Source organism: Homo sapiens, chromosome 9 (assembly GCF_000001405.40).
Source record: "Homo sapiens chromosome 9, GRCh38.p14 Primary Assembly".
Taxonomy (NCBI): Eukaryota; Metazoa; Chordata; class Mammalia; order Primates; family Hominidae; genus Homo; species Homo sapiens.
Genome location: NC_000009.12, coordinates 13,134,592 through 13,151,951, shown reverse-complemented (window position 1 = coordinate 13,151,951; position 17,360 = coordinate 13,134,592). Strand labels below are relative to the sequence as shown.

The 17,360-nt window shown below is 35.3% G+C and overlaps 1 protein-coding gene across 57 annotated transcripts in view; it reads left to right on the top strand.

Annotated features, from left to right (window-relative positions):
• The window catches only part of MPDZ (multiple PDZ domain crumbs cell polarity complex component), a 173,986-nt gene that overhangs the window by 127,741 nt on the left and 28,885 nt on the right, over positions 1-17,360 (top strand). For 22 of the 57 annotated variants that reach the window (XM_047424033.1, XM_017015252.2, XM_006716888.4 and 19 more), the window contains 7 exons: positions 1,264-1,441; positions 4,294-4,404; positions 8,388-8,486; positions 11,803-11,965; positions 13,799-13,995; positions 15,149-15,240; positions 15,770-15,860. In XM_047424033.1, coding sequence (XP_047279989.1) covers positions 1,264-1,441; positions 4,294-4,404; positions 8,388-8,486; positions 11,803-11,965; positions 13,799-13,995; positions 15,149-15,240; positions 15,770-15,860 — 931 coding nt within the window. The remainder of the gene's footprint in view (positions 1-1,263; positions 1,442-4,293; positions 4,405-8,387; positions 8,487-11,802; positions 11,966-13,798; positions 13,996-15,148; positions 15,241-15,769; positions 15,861-17,360) is intronic. The other 35 variants (NM_001375419.1, NM_001375416.1, XM_047424035.1 and 32 more) reach the window with 2 other exon arrangements.

Below are 17,360 nucleotides of genomic sequence, written 5' to 3'. Positions count from 1 at the left end.
TTAATATCAGATTCTATAAGACACATAATTGAGAAGGTATTTTAAACTATCTTTGTTTTACTACTAGTAAAACCTTAATAAATTGAGCAAAGTAATATTTGTAAAAATTAACATATATGACATTTTATTCCATTGTGTTAAAATATTTTTATTATTATTTTAAGCCATCCTAACCATTTGTAAGTGTACAGTTCAGTGGCATAAGTACATTCACATTGCTCTACAGTCACCACCACCGTCTAGCTACAGAACTTTTTTCATCTTGCAAAACTGTAATTCCATACCCATTAAGCAATAACTCCCCTTTCTTGTCTCTTCCCATCCCAGGCAACCACCATTCTACTTTCTGTCTCTATGAATTTGGTACCTCTAGGTACTTTATATGAGTGAAATTAAATGACATTTGTCCTTTATTTTACTTAGATGACTTAACTTCACTTAGCATAATGTCTTCAAGGTTTATTCATATTATGGTATGTTTCAGAATTTCATTTTTAAAGGATGAATAATATTGAATGTATATAGTATTTTATCTACTCATTTCTTGATAGATAATTGGTTTGCTTCTACCTCTTGACTATTGTGAACATGGGTGTATAAATATTTCTTTGAGATCCTGCTTTGAATTATTTTGGGTATAATACCCACAAGTGGAATTGCTGAATCATATGATAATTCTATTTTTAATTTTTTGAGGAACCTATATACTCTTTTCCATAGCAGCTACACGATTTTACATTTCTACCAACAGTACACAAGGGTTTCACACGCTCTGCATTCTTGTTAATTTGTGTGTGTGTGTGTGTGTGTTTTTAGTAGGTAGTAGCCATCCTGTTGGATGTGAGATGGTATCTTACTGTGCTTTTGATTTGTATTTCCATAATATTTAGTGATGTTAAACATCTTTTCATGTGCTTATTGGTCATTTATGTATCTTCAAGACACTTGCCCATGTTTTATACCACTTGTTTTTTTGTTGTTGTTGAGTTTTAGAAGTTCCCTTTGTATTCAGCTTATGAATCTCTTATCAGATATGTTATTAGCAGATACTTTTTTCCTTTCCGTTGGTTGCCTTTTTACTCTATTGAGAGTATCATTTGATGAACAGAAGTTTTTAATTTTGATAAAGTACATTTTATCTATTTTTTCTTTTGTTCTCTGTGCCTTTGGTGTTATATATAAGAAATCATTGCCAAATTCAGCATCATGAAGCTTTACCCTTATGATTTTTCCTAAGAGTTGAAAATTTTATTTATTTTTTAGGGTGGAACTCTGGAGAGAACCAAGCAAATCCTTAGGCATCAGCATTGTTGGTGGACGAGGGATGGGGAGTCGGCTAAGCAATGGAGAAGTGATGAGGGGCATTTTCATCAAACATGTTCTGGAAGATAGTCCAGCTGGCAAAAATGGAACCTTGAAACCTGGAGATAGAATCGTAGAGGTACCCTCTAGTGAGCTTTCTGTGCTAAAATTTGTTTGTTTTGTTTTATTTATTTATTTTTTAATTTTACTATTATTATACTTTAAGTTTTAGGGTACATGTGCTAAAATTTTTCACCTGCTCCACCCTTTGTACCGAGGGAATTGTCATCTTCATACTAGTTACTCAACCCAGCATTCGAGTAAAATGTGTGTGTGGATAAATTATTTCTTTCTTATTTGTTTATTTTCATACGTAATTTTCTCTTATGTATATAATGACAGATTATATGTTTTGATATAGAGACTGATGTTTGGAGATAAAGCCAACCATTTAAAAAAAAATGGCTCCAAGGTAAAATAATTATGTTCTGTTTGAAAGAACAAAGCACAATTCTCAGGGAAAAATTTTGAATTAAGATTACATTAGACATACAATATATGTATATGTACACACAAAAATGTAGATATAATTAAGTTAATGAGATTTTATTTCAATAAGTACTTTATTATCATTTCATTGCAGATAAACTTTGTTGGATGAGTTTTTTTTTTCCAAGTGAGTCTTTTTTAGTAAAATATTTAATGCTGACACCTCAGTTACCTTTCATGTAAATCCTTCTCAGTCGAAGCCAGGATCTCGCTCCTTTTCAGTGCTGTGTTCATTCATCAATGAAGGCTCTGTATGTGTGCCTGTGTGCATGTGTGTGCACATGTATGTGCATTTTGTTATGTGTTAGAAGCATGTCAAGTTGTGTGTAATCTCTTAATTCAAAGCAAAGTTCAATATTTTAAATAGACTCTCCTCTCATAAGTCACTCACTCATTTACTCAACAAATATTCCTGGAACAGCTGTTGCATTCCAGGTGCTATAACAGGCTCTGGGCATCCCACAGTAAACAAGGCACTGTGCCTGCCTGCCAAGTGGGACAGACTTGACAAGTAATCAAGTCACTTCAGAACAGTGTGATAAATTATTTCATTGGGATAAGCATAATTTTATTTAGAAGGATAGAGAAAGGAGTACCTGACCTAGATTTTCTGAGTTTTCAGGATTTACAGAGTAGACTAAAAGAGACAACTTGCAAATAAAGACAATTTTATTACCACTGTAATGACCATTATATTTACTTTATACAAGTGACTCTCATTTTCTAAACCCATATAACTTACACACTGGAAGACTTTGTTTAGAAGAAGATTATAACATATCAACCATGACTTTAAATGCACGTTTTGATGACTGATTGATTCCTTCATTGACTGGCTGTCTTTGAGAGCCTTAGACGGAAGAAGATTGGGACCTGAGCGAAAACAGGGACCATGTCCTTTTTTTTTTGATGACCGTTTATAAGGAAGAGTGATAGGCTTTTTCTCTCTCCTGCATTCTTTCATTAGATGATACCTTAGACCCCTTTTAACGAACTCTTTTATTTAGGACACTACCTAAAATTTCAAATTTTGGATTGTCACTAAGAAGTTTATTTTATGCATACCTCACTATTAAATACCTTTGACCTAAATAGCAAAAGAGATTTTTTTTTTTTTGTAGACAAGAATGGTCATAATTTGCTCTCAAATGTTGTTTAAATATATTTAAAAAGTTAAAGTTCACCTTTGAAATGGAAAAGAAAGAACTTTTTTGTGCGTTTTAAAATACTGTATGCAATTTAGCAATGATTTGTGCCATATTGCAAGGGCTTTTCTAGTATGTAGGAAGCCTCAGTCCTCTGTAATCCTGAGGATTCTAAAGCGTGTCTCTGCTAAGAGTTTCTCAAAATGTATATAGACTAGGTGAGTGCAGATCTGCAAATTTGGAATACTTTGGTCTTGAGCAAAGATAATTAACATCCTTTTAAATTTTTCCACGAATGGAATATATAGTAGACATATGGTAGATGTGAATACTGACTTTTGTTCTACAAAAAAGTTAGAAGCTATTTTAATATGCACTGAAAAAAATATTGTCATCTAAGTATCAACCTGAGGGAGGTTTTTATCTAAATCTATATAATTCTTTTAAAGATAATAATGTTCTATGCAAAGATCTAATAATGTTCTTTTCTAGAGTTGTGTCCACTCTGGGTTTACTCTTTTGTTGTATATATCATAACATGGTAATTGGAAATGATAAAATGATACTAACATCCTATAGTTTTCTGACAGAATTAGCATTTGGCCTTTTAAACTATTTTCCTTCTTATTCATAAAGTGTGTAAGCTGAGTTGATCAATACTCAGGCAAACCATGATCAATAAAATTTACAAAATAACTTTCATTGTCAAACTATATAAGAATTACTAACAAATAAACACAATTTCTTAGCTTCCAGCTCCTGTCATATCTACTGCAAGGATTCTTTTGCAAAACTAACCTTACCATTATCTGATTTTTCTGGATATCAGAATTTTGTTTTGAACTTCAAGCTTCCCTGTACAGAGAAAATTATACAAGGCATCACCCCTTACTTCCCAAACCACCCTATAGTCAATTAGAAGAAAATTAGTACAGTGACTTTCATGATGAAGACAGTGCTGCTAGATAGTTCCCTCATATAATTTTGTTAATGATACTGATTTTTTTAATTTAAAGGAGCAGCTGAGCAATGTAAGGAGTGCAGAAGCAGAGCCTTCATTTCAATTGATTATGTCTTGAACTGATTATTGGAGACAGAGATATGTGTCCAAAGCAAGGGACCACAAGTCTGCTGGACAGACAGAAAGTTCTGCAGCTTCACATGTAGTCTCAATTATTTTTGATATTAAAACAGATTTTCTAGGAGTCTAACCAAGTATCCCTAAAACTCCATATCCACACATTTTTTTGTTGTTCTATAGATTCTTGAAATGTTAAGCTGAGGCCTTCCATTGCAGGTGGATGGAATGGACCTCAGAGATGCAAGCCATGAACAAGCTGTGGAAGCCATTCGGAAAGCAGGCAACCCTGTAGTCTTTATGGTACAGAGCATTATAAACAGACCAAGGGTAAGCGAACACAAAGGGCAAGGTAGGCATATCCAAACAGTGTTCAACTTGGAATCTAATGTATCAAGGGCCAAGTTGTCTGTATGAGTAAAGATAGTGATTTTTCAAATCTCAGGAGACTTGTTAGAAGTTTGTTTTGCTTTCTCAGAAATTGAGTTATCCTGGAAATCCCTTCCACCATGTTTAATAAAGACTTTTGAGGTCTGTTGAATATACACAGAAGTAGATTTATCAGTATCTCTAGGTATCTAGATGGTTAATTATTAGTATTCATTTTAATCACAAAATACACAAGTTATTAAAAGGAATGTGGCATCATAATTCAGGTTAATCATCTGTGATCTCTAGTGGAGCCCCTTAGAAACCAAAGAAATGACATTTTCTTGAAATTTATTCTCTAGACAGAATCTCCTACTTATGCAATCCCATAATCATCTGTGAATGATCGTTCATGTATTTGTGTATCCCACTGAACGTTAAATTTGCTCAGGGCAGATTTGGTTTGTTTACAAGTGATTTCATCATTGCTGTACTCTAGCCACATCACTGTATAGCTCTTCATCACTGTATAGCTGTTGGTGGACAGAAACCTACCAACCCGTTTTGCCATCAGTCACCACAGGTAAAATAGCATTAAAAAACATTTTAGAAAATGTAAGTTACATTTAATGAATGTTGTTAACAAAGATACAGAGCGAGGCTTTGGATTTGTTATGACTTGATGCTGAAGATGAAAATTATGCCAAGAGTTTAAAACTGTTTTTTCAACTCCTTCTTTATGCCTCATGAAAAAAAAAATTCACATGCAGCAGTTATTAAGTATTTTGGATTCACATACCCCTTTGAAAGTTCTTTAGAAACATACACATCCATTCAAAAATTGCATACCATTTCCTAGATGTCCTGAAGCACTTACAGACTCCTTTTTTGGATTTAAGTTAACAACCCCCATCATAGTGATTCTCTTTGAATTTCCTGCTTACTAGTTTTTAGGGTTGGTTGTCTTTAAAACAAAAATATCAACATATGTGAGGGAAGTTGAACGCATCGTCTAAAACTTAAAATATTTAATTTTATCTGCAAAATATATTTAATTTTAACTTGTAAAGTTAAGAATTTAAGATATAAGGGCTCAGTTTAACTTGTGAAATTAAGAATTTAAGATGTTAAGGTTCAAATGATGAAAATAACCAACAGCTCTTTAGATGAGCTCTGTCAAAGTAACTTATCAATATTCTATGCCATGGACTGTAAAGTGACCAGATTTATTTTAATGGCCCTTCCTTCTGTTGTGAAGACAGGTGTAACTGTGGTCTGGGTTTACTGTAAAGAGTGAATCTAGTAGTTTTTAATGTAAGCACTTCAACATCTGCAATTTTTAATCATTCAGTTGTTTATTGTTAGGTAATAATTATCCATTCAGAAAGAAAATTTGCCAAATGGTAGGGCTGCATCATGCTGCATTCTTTACAAAGCTATTCCATTTGTTTAAATAACTATAAATCCTTTTACATTTATTCCCATTTGTGTGTTAAACATAGACACAGCATAATAATGTTAAATGGGTGTTTAAGTTAAAGCTATTTTTTTTGTGTGTGGGTGGATTTTAGTCCTTTTTTTGTTTTATTTATAATTTACAATTTTTACATCATTTGGGACAATACTATAAATTGCTGAATAGTGATTCTCAATATTGCTTTAAAAACTTAAAACTACAAATATTCCTTTCAATGTCAGGCACATTTTCCAATGAGCCGGGAAGATCTTGTCTCATACACCTGGAAAATACTCTTATTTTGCTCTCTGAGGTATAATGATACCTGATTTTATAGCAATTGTTCCAGGATAAATCTTGTTATGAATGACATGTTTAGTCAAGTCATACTTATTTTGCTTTAGAAAATTAAAGTTAATTTTGCATTTAAAATGAGATATGTTTTGTTTCAATGATTTACTTCCTTATGGAAATAATTAGGTCTCCAGTAATCTAAAAGGAACAATCACAAATGCACATACTTAAAAGTCTCTTACTGGTAATTGTGTTATCTGTAGATATAGGATAAAGCTCCTAGGAAATCTTAAACATAAGCTGAAAAACCAGTGAGTTGCTTTGGCCCTTAGGCTCTTCAAGAATCAGAAATTTCCAGAACTAGCCCTGGTAATTTCACCAGTATGACCCTTCACAGAATTCAGTCTGACCACATTTTCTCACTGAAAGGGGGGCCCCATTTAGAATGGGCCAGAGAATGTTTTTGTCTTCCCTGTGCTTCTTCGTTGTTAATATTTCTGCTTTTCTCAGCCCCTGGGACTATAAACAGAAGTTTCATCATTGGTTTTTTAATAAGAAATAGTCTGTTTCTAAATATCTTTTCCTAATAATAGAGTAATCTACCATTTCGTCTGCTGTGCCTATGCTATACTTTTACACTTTGCTATCAGGGCCAAATTCTAATCCTCTGAGATCTGCAAATTAAAAAGAAAGCAAAAGTAATAAAAATTTAAAAACTAGAGCTTTCTTTAAATTTGTTGCTAGTTTTGTTTTCTGATGTTCTACAGAATTATACAGGACACTGAAAGTCCAATGTATGGAGATTAGAAATAATCTCCACCTTCCATAGCATTGAATTATTTTGCCTAGGATATATTTGTCACCTCTGCCTAGTCATTTCTTCCACGTTAATAAATGGTCATGTGCCTTGGTATTTGTGATCTTCTCTTTTGTAAAGCAGGAGTTGACATTTTAAACTGAAAAGCAGGGAGAAAGTTGAGATGAGCAGAAATGTCATTGTGCCCATTTCTTTTTCCTGTCTTCCCTCTGTAGGAAAAACATTGCAAGAAGAGCAGATTGAAAGGGTAATGTGGCATAAGCTTTAGTGCAGGCATACTGAGGATAGAGTCTTTCCAGAGTGTTCTCTCATACAGCGTGGTGTCACATGACAACCTCTCCCTATACTTGATGCCTGCCAGTGGGGCTTTTTTATAGAGAAAAGTAACACAAACATTTAATTGGAGCCAAAATGAATTTTAAATGTCTGCAATTTCCCCTGAAAGATATAGTCAATAAAAGAAAAAGATAGCGGGTGTGAAAAGAAGGAGAAGAATTTATTGTGCTAAGGAAATTACTTTTTTTTTTAAACTATGAAAATGCTAAATTCTATCTGGCAGTCATCCTGACTTTAATATGTATTTTCAACTCTAACAGTCTGGCTCAGGGCTTATTACTGGCAAGCCACAAAACCTCTGAGAAACACTCTAAGGCAGGACTTCAAATATTATCTAAAGCCTCATAAATTCTCCAGTAATATGGGCAATTTTATAGGAAATTTATTTAAAACATGAATCTCCATGTTTCTACCTCCACAAAAACTGGGCAGAAATAGAGAACACCACTCTACAGGAGTTCATTTTTTAATAAATTACTGTTTTTTTAATTTAAAAAATACAATTGCTCTGAAGCACTTTAATATCCAGTCAAAATATGGAAAGTTTCCTTACTAGGATGCAAAATAAAAGAATAATGAAGGTTGCCAGTGAACTAGCAGACCAATTTATAATTTGCATTCTAGACAGATTATTTAAAAAAAATTAGCTTTTAGATGTAGATAAAAAATTTTGTGGTTTTAATTTTGAACATGTTTACTGGTATTCATAAAACATGTATTAATATATAAGATGGGCAAAATATATGTGCCTCTGTTAGTAATACCGAAGACATTGAGCAAAAATAAAAGAAATTTGGGATCAGTTTGACAACTAGTTTCCTTTGTGGTTTGTGGCCTGATTTAGACTCAGGTATAGATTCAGGTCATTAGAGACAAATCTTTAGTTCCAGACTGTTTTAAGATGTTGCTATTAATGACTGGATCTGATAGGATCTAGTTTCACACAGGCAGTTCTTTAAATCGGTATGTACTTTGCTTTTAAAACTGAGTTGTTTTCAATACATTTCCTTTGCGTTCAGCGCCTCTTATGTTTCCTTTTAGAAATCCCCTTTGCCTTCCTTGCTGCACAACCTTTACCCTAAGTACAACTTCAGCAGCACTAACCCATTTGCTGACTCTCTACAAATCAACGCCGACAAGGTTGGATAATGCCCATTGTCTTGCTGTTGGTTGCCTTTTGCAAATGTTTTGTTCTTTGTTACTACTGTGTCTTTGTCCCAGTTCACTATTTGCTACATTTGGGCAGGGAAAAAAAAACAAAAAAACAAAGCTGTTTGGAGTGGGCATGCAGATCCTTTCTTAAGCACATTTTCCTGCCAGAGAATATTTATTTTTATTGCTGAAATTAAATGGCCCTTCTGAAGAGTAAGGGAGAATCATGAGTCCAGTGCCTTTCTTTCATTTTGGTGTCATTTAAAATTTCTGATATTTAAATTTTTGTTAGTTGCCAAATGTATGATACTTTCACACATAATTTCTTTAAAACCATGTGTTGATTTAAATCCTTTTCATACTTCTACAAGGTGATCATAAAAGCTCTTCCATGAGTTAATCACTGCACAAATAATTGTGTATGTGTACATGCAGGAGTCTGTTGAATATTCATGAAGCATGCCCATGTAATTGCCTGAATCAGGAAACGTAACTGTTTCAATGCTCGTAAATCTATACTTGGATCTTCTCATTTTCTGATGAAATTATAAAACCAAAATCGAAACACAAATTTATAAGAATTTATATACCATAATTTGATCATGAAAAGGAAGAAAGCCATCAACAATTTTTTTCAGGAAACACTTTATGAATATTCATCAGACTTCCATGTTATTGTAACAAATACCATGTTATTGATATGGATAACCAAAGATGCTATATCTGAAGGAATATGTTTTCTATTGCTATAGGAATTACTGAATTCAAGTAGAATTATCTTCCATTGTTCCCCAACTAACCCTTTTGCTCCCACACCCTTTAAGGTTTGTGTCAGTGTGGAATTTTCGTATGTGGGTGTGTTACAGTGTGCTTTATGTGTGTGCTGTACTTGATGTATACATACATGGCATGGAGTGATCTCAAGTATACACTGCATTTTTGACAAGGAAGGCTAAACAATCTTTGTTAAAGAGCTATATTTTCATAAATAAATTTTAAAAAGTGTCACTAACGAGGCAGATACATGATCTTGATGAGAATGAGGGTGTCAGGGATATGAAAACATAACACCTGATTGCCCCTCAAGTAAATAGAGGCTTATATTGGTTTTATTAGTCAGGTAGGTTAGGGCACCATTTTGATTTACTCACAGTATGAAAATGTTGTGCCTGAGATCCCAGACAATTTTTCAGATAAGCAGGTTTTGTTTGTTTGTTTGTTTGTTCTTAAAATAACAGCTCAGAAAAATTATGCAGCAAGATGTATAAAATGTCATCTATAGATTTGTTAAAATTATGAGAAGTTTAAATTAGCTTTTGTTTTACCTTTTAAAAAGGGAATGGACTTAATCAATGCTTGATAAAATTTTACAGAGAAGTAAATTTTTTTTAGCCAGAAAAATTCTAAAGTACATACCTTGCTCCTCTTTACTATGATAATGAAACTTGATTGGACCAAATGAGGGTTTTATGTGTGTGTGTTTGTTCATTTTTATTGGTATATTATTAATTTGAGACATTTATGGCACAGCATTTGGGAACATAACAAGGGTTCCATTTACATTAGTAACTTTTATCTGTTTGTCCAATGACATATAGACTGAACATTTCAATATAGCAGATTCTGTAATCTGACACTTACGCCCTTAAATCTCTATCAGTCAGCGATTTGCTTTGCCAGAAAATTGAGTGCTTTCTGAATCAACAAAGAAAGGTCGCATTCAGTCTCAAATAGTTCTAGTGTTACATATATTTTTAGGTATCCTAATTCGTGGCACCAATTAATAATTTCTAAGTATTTGTGCGTGTTTATCATTTAATGTATCCTTACAAGAAGTCAGTTTTTTAAAAAAAATCATAATATTTTTCTAGATATAAACATATATAATAAAACATTGTATCAGAGGAATTCTTATGCAGTAAAAAAGTAAAATAAAGATATATAGGAAAACTATAGGTTCAAGGTATCAGGGACAACTTCATACCGAGGTTAGAACTTTAGCTGGATGTTCCTGACCTTTGAGTTTGGTACTGTCTTATTTATGCAAGTTGGAGGAGACAACATGATATAATGGAAAGTGCACTGGATTAAGAGTTAAGCAAAAAGAAGTCTAGTACCACTGTTTGATTCGAAACAAAAACTTTCATTTCTTGTAGCCTCAGGTTCCAAAGGTTTATTCATCTGCAAAGTGAATAAAATGAACTCAGCAACTTAAAGACCTTTCAAACTCTAACATTGTTTGATCATCTGTAACATTAGGTTAGTGCAAAAGTAATTGGAGTTTTAATGGCAAAAACTGCAATTATTTTTGCAATATAAGAACTTGATGATGCCAAGTACTTTTTTTTTTTTTTTTCGAAATAGGACCTATGACCCTAAGTGACAGCCAGTATGCCATGCTTTGGCTTTCTATTAAGGAGTCTCCTGTGTTTCCTCATTTATCTTGTGATCTGCCTTGGCAAGGGAAAGCTGGTGTTGTCCTTAAAACCATGCCGCTCACATCCGAGTGTGTGCTCTGTGCTAACAAACTGGCTCTCTGGTAGACAAGCCTGCATGTGTGATACTTGCTGTCCTGGATTTGTTAAGAGAATCATATGGAGAGAGGATTCAGGTAGCAATAAATAATTATTTATATTTAGTCTCACTAATAAGCTTTGAAGGGCAACTTCTTTGTTAATTTTTTTTTCTGCAGTTTCTTGGCAGATTTTTCTAGATGCCTCAAATCTTACCCAGACCCAAAAGTTATAACTTTTGAATGACATTTTTTTCTAGAAGGGAAAGTTTGTACAATTTTCTACCAAGTCATTTAAGACTTCAAATTCATTAATTCATTGGCTTAAAATAGCAAATAAAAGTTTAGTGAATTATTCTCTGATACTACTTGGTTTGATATATTTAAACTTTACCTGAATCCCATCTAATATTTCATATCTATCTATCTATCTATATATATACATAGATATATATGGAAATAAGAATATCATGTCAAAAACAAAGACTGGCTTTAAAATATCAAACAAATAATGGAAAGCTCATATATATACATATATATATATATATGTATATATATAAAATATTTAACAATCTGAGCCTTCCATTATTTGTTAGGTATTATATATATATATGAGCTTTCCATTATTTGTTAGATATTTTATATATATATTATATACATATATGAGCTTTCCATTATTTGTTAGATATTTTAAAGCCAGTCTTTGTTTTTGACAGTATACTCTTATTTCTTCTTCTTGAAGTTTTCTTCCTTAGACTGTACAAACCCACTGCATTCTTTTTGTTCCCACAGGCACCCAGTCAGTCAGAGTCAGAGCCAGAGAAGGCTCCATTGTGCAGTGTGCCCCCACCCCCTCCTTCAGCCTTTGCCGAAATGGGTAGTGATCACACACAGTCATCTGCAAGCAAAATCTCACAAGATGTGGACAAAGAGGATGAGTTTGGTTACAGCTGGAGTAAGTTGTGTTTTTGTGATGCATTTAATTGTAAGAGGTATTAAAATAGCTCTGAGTTTCTCAAGGATTTCGCCCTGGATAAGTAAGTATGTTGCAGCTTTGTGATATATACTGCAATTCTGTGTGGAAAGAAATAGTGTTTGTTTTGCTTGAATACAGCATACATTCCTGAGGCATGAAATCATGCTCTTCCTTTCCTTTAAAAGTGCTGTTAAAGCTCACTCTGCCTTTTGTATGAGAATTAATAAGGACAGGGCACTCTCTCAGAAGCTAGTATTGGATCAGCCACTCTGTGTCTCAAACAAGTCACCACCCCTTTCTGGGCATCAGATTCCTCATGTGAATGAGGATATTCTGGTTGTTGATATCACACCTTGAACTTCTGGTGTATTTTCTATACCAGAATGGTGACATAGTATAATTGTGGAGATAAAAACTTTAGGCATTGACTAAGCTGTTTAACTGTCTCTAAGCTTTAGCCTAGTGGTTATCTCTCTTTTTAAAATGGAGTTCTCCCCTCAGGTTGCTAACATTCAATTAGATAGTGCCAAGAGTGCTAAGCACAGTGCCTGGCGCCCAGCAGTCTTTCATAGGCAGCTGTTATTAGGACCAATAGGGAGTCTCTCTTTTCTAAGGAAATACCATTTTGCAGGAAAATATTTAAAATTTAGCCCAAAGTTATCAATGTCATTGTTTTAAAAAGTTTTATTTTAAAAATCGAATTATTTCCTTTAAGAAAGCTGTAGTACATCTTTTTAGGAAGTACAGAACATAAAAGTTGTGCTGCTGTATTGTGGAAGGAGTCAGGAAATAGTTTATGAAATTGATGCAGTTAAGAATCAATGTAGAATGCATGGCATTGGCCCATTAGCCATATAATAACGTTTTCTAAGATGACTGGTAAAGTTTGTAGTTTTCGCAGTCTGTTCTCAGTGACACTAGAGCATATTGCTAACAATCAATGTGGTCAGAATGTAATCTTGAGGAAAACGTGAACTGAAATGTTTCAGTTTTCTATTATGAAGCCACCCCAAAATGTAATGGCATAAAACAATAATTTATTATTAATCTATCAAAGGGCAGTGGGTGACTGGGCCCAGCTGGGCTGGACTTCCAAGACAGCTCATTTACATGGTTGTCAAGTAGTGCTGGCTGTTGGCTGGTCGCTCATCTGTGGCTGTGCACTGGAGCACCTGCGTGAGGCGTCAGCCCTCTTAGATTAAAGAGGGTGCACAATAACCATCACCTCTTGAAGATGTGGGGTAGGAGATGTAAATGGTCTCATCTCATTAGGACGTGTGTCCCAAAACTGGGTTACATATATCAAGTTGTCCTGGCCTAATAGCTCTGTGCAATAAGAAAGCTCATTCTCTTCATTTTGCATATATCTATCAAGCAACTGCCCAACATGATGTGATACACAATGTTGAAATTCCTATGGGAGAAAAGCTCCCACTGATCAGTGAACACAGATATTCTGGATGCCTTAGTTCTGTTCTCCTCTGCAAATGATCAAGTTTCTGGTTTAATCATAGTCTTTTGAGAGTTTGTAAAATGAATTACTTCTCTTTGGTGTAACCACTCCAAGGTGAACTGATTAATCAGACATTGTGCTCTCTGCACCCTAGATGCAAAGAAATTCCTCAAAGTTTGGGTCCTCCAGGAAACCAGTCCTGATGCCCAAGTGCCTAGTCTATTTAGCTTTTAACTGTCAAAGCGTACATTTTGGTATAAAATCTGTCCTTTTGAGGTAAAACTAAATAGCTTTCCACAGTAAAGCATTTGACTGTAAATTAACTGTAAATATGTATTTGTTGTTGTTGTTGTATGTAGAAAATATCAGAGAGCGTTATGGAACCCTAACAGGCGAGCTGCATATGATTGAACTGGAGAAAGGTCATAGTGGTTTGGGCCTAAGTCTTGCTGGGAACAAAGACCGATCCAGGATGAGTGTCTTCATAGTGGGGATTGATCCAAATGGAGCTGCAGGAAAAGATGGTCGATTGCAAATTGCAGATGAGCTTCTAGAGGTAAGTTTTTGTGGAAAATTTTGAATTTATTCTTGTTTTATAAGGGTAATGGAACTGTCAGTTTCCAGAAAATCACCCATACCTTATAGTGACTGAGAAAGCCATTGCTTGCTTAATAAAATAGATGCATTGCAGCAAATCTGGCTCTAAACCAAATTTCTACCAAGTAGAGTCCATGTTCCCATTAACTTCCATTAAAAGGTCATGACTGTGTAGCACCAGAAACAATTTTTGCCCCAAGATAGTAATAAAGCTTACACTTCAAAAGCATTTGTTTTGTGTGCTGCATTTTTATTAGGAGTTTTTGAAAAGCCAAGTGACCAGTCATTCCCCAGAGGCTGACCCACTGGACATTCTGGAACTTGAATCACTAATGGGAGAAGTGATGAGGGTGAGGTGGGGTGGGGTCAAGGTTAAGGCTAAAGAACAAGCAGTAACTCAGCCTGCCGAACAAAATAAATTTGTGGACCATACTTTATAGGGTTTAGAATTTTATTTGCTTGTGTTGTTTGTCCTTGCCCCTCCTGGGCTGGGATCCACATGATTTTATACTGCCTTTATACTCTTCTCATGCTGAGTATGTTTCCCTATAGACACAGGAGGCTCAGTCAGGCAGTGGCTAAATGACCAAATGACTGAGCCAGTCATTTGCGTTAGGCACTGTGCTGTTTAGGCACAGTTTGCTGCCTAAATCCTGAATCTACCTAGCATTTCTTCTCCCAGTGACCTATTTCCAGGGCTTGAGTTTTGAGACTAAGTGGGAAATATGACAGTAAGGAACTTCCCAGGATGGTCTTGCAGGTCGCAAGTTTTTCCACAGAGCCCTCGTTTTGTGCAGAGCATGCTGGGAGCCCAGTGCCTGCCAGGAAATTTGTTGTCTACTCTCCTGCAGTTGGTCCAAGTGGTGCCTCTTTATCAGCAGTTCATGGATGTCAGACTTCATTTGCATTATTTTAATGCTGGCTTTAAACATGAGCTATTCTTTATTCACCATGAAAAGTCAGTTTCATGTTTTGGGGAGGAAAATATATAACATTTAATATAAAATATATTTTAAAGGAAGAAAAAATGTGCTTTTCATTAATGAGGAAGGATGATAAAACTTTATGATACTAAGATTTCAGGCCCAACTAATGATATTTATTTCTCACAGATCAATGGTCAGATTTTATATGGAAGAAGTCATCAGAATGCCTCATCAATCATTAAATGTGCCCCTTCTAAAGTGAAAATAATTTTTATCAGGTGATCATTTTCTTTTGCTAGTTTACCAAATACTTTTTGTTAGCATTTCTTCTCTGAGTTCTTTTGAATGAAAAGAAAACATTTGTAGCCGGGCATGCTGGCTCATGCCTGTAATCCCAGCACTTTGGGAGGCTGAGGCGGGCGGATCATGAGGTCAGGAGATCGGGACCATCCTGGCTTACATGGTGAAATCCCGTCTCTACTAAAAAAAAATTAGCCGGGCGTGGTGGCACGCACCTGTAGTCCCAGCTACTAGGGAGGCTGAAGCAGGAGAATCACTTGAACCTGGGAGGCGGAGGTTGCAGTGAGCTGAGACTGTGCCACTACACTCCAGCTCGGGCAACAGAAAGAGACTCTGTCTCAAAAAAAAAAAAAAAAAAAAAAAAGAAAACGTTTGTAAATTTGTAAGTGTCACAGTTCCAGGTTTTGGGGGTTAAATAATTTTCTCTAATAACCTTCTGACTCTTGAAGTAAGAGAATGAAAATAATACCATGATGTTATAATAGGTTGTTGTTTTTTTGCTTTTAGAAATAAAGATGCAGTGAATCAGATGGCCGTATGTCCTGGAAATGCAGTAGAACCTTTGCCTTCTAACTCAGAAAATCTTCAAAATAAGGAGGTATATGTAACTTATGTTTGTTTCTCTGGGAAGACTTGATTGATGTGAGCCTTATTAATTCAATCAACAATTACATAACACTTAGAGAGGGATATTAGAGGTAGATAAGTTATAGCCTTGGCCTTCAAGGAGTGTACATCCTAGTATAAGAAGACACTCATGGAAATAAGCATACCACTTATGTGAAGAGTACTTGTAGTCTGCCTAGGGAATAGTGAGGGTAGGAAAAGAGTTATCAGTTCTGCCTCTGAAAAGAAATTGAGGATAAAACTTTATATGGAAGGTTACATATGAAGTGTATGTTGGAAGATTTGGGGGGCAAAAATGTTGCAAGCGGAGGGCATGGAGTGAGGAATGGCATGGAGACTTTGGCCAATGCAGGAAGCTAAATTGTAGAGCATCACTGAGCAATGAGGGGCAGGGAATGGAAGCTGGTGGGGAAAGGGTCAATGTTAAAGGGGACAGGGTCAGATCATGGGATACATTGATAGGCCAACATGTGCCAGCTTTGTCTTTGAGGCAGTGTGGAGCTCAAAGAATGAGAAATGTTTAGTTAAAAATTTCTCTGGCAGTACTGTAGAGAAAAATCAGAGGTAGCAGGGGAGAGAGGTTAGAGGAAGTAAGATAATTATTGGAATAATTCAGGAAACAGTTAACAAGGACCTGAACTAAAGCTGGAAGAGGGAATGGTTACATCAGATGTTTAAGACCCAAATTGATAATACTTCATCCCCAACTAAATGTACTCACTGAGGAAAAATGAGTGGTTGAAGATGTGTTTATCCAACAAATATTTTCTGAGTACTCTGCCTTATACCAGATACTGCTCTTTGGACTGGAGAATAAAACAGGTAGGATATACAAGGTTTTCAGATATCTGACTTAGTGACATGAGGGATGGCTGTCTTTTACTGAATAGAAAATACAGAAAGATATTTGCAAAAATATGGTACATTCTATTTGGGGCAGGTTAAGAACGAAGTGCCTGTTGGATAGCCTGGTAAAAATGTACATTGGGACATTTGGTCTCCAGTTTAGAGATGATTTCCTGTATATGCAGATTTGGCATTTCTTAGCCATGGAGGCTGAGGTGCTTGCTACAGAGAGCATTTAGAGAGAAAGAGGGCCAAGGGCAGAATCATGTGGTAGCAACAGTAAGGAGGAAGGCTAACCAAGAGATCAGAGACTATGAAGAACCAGGAGGGCATGTGGCAGAGCAGCGGAGAAGAGTGTCCTTCAAGGGTACACTCCACAGCTCTACATGCTGCCATGTAGCAAGAATCCAGTGAGAAGATGAGTAGAAAGAGTCCCTTGGGTGTGGTAACTAGGAGACTGTTAGTGGTTTTTGAGAAAGCAAATGATGGACAAGAAGTCAAGGAGAGAGAGAGGCAGTGGCTAGAGGGTGACAGAGAATTGGGAGAGTGGTTTTGTTTTGATTTAGGAAAGCTTTGGATACATGTGTATGATGAATAAAAGGAGTTAGTAGAGAATGAAAAGCTT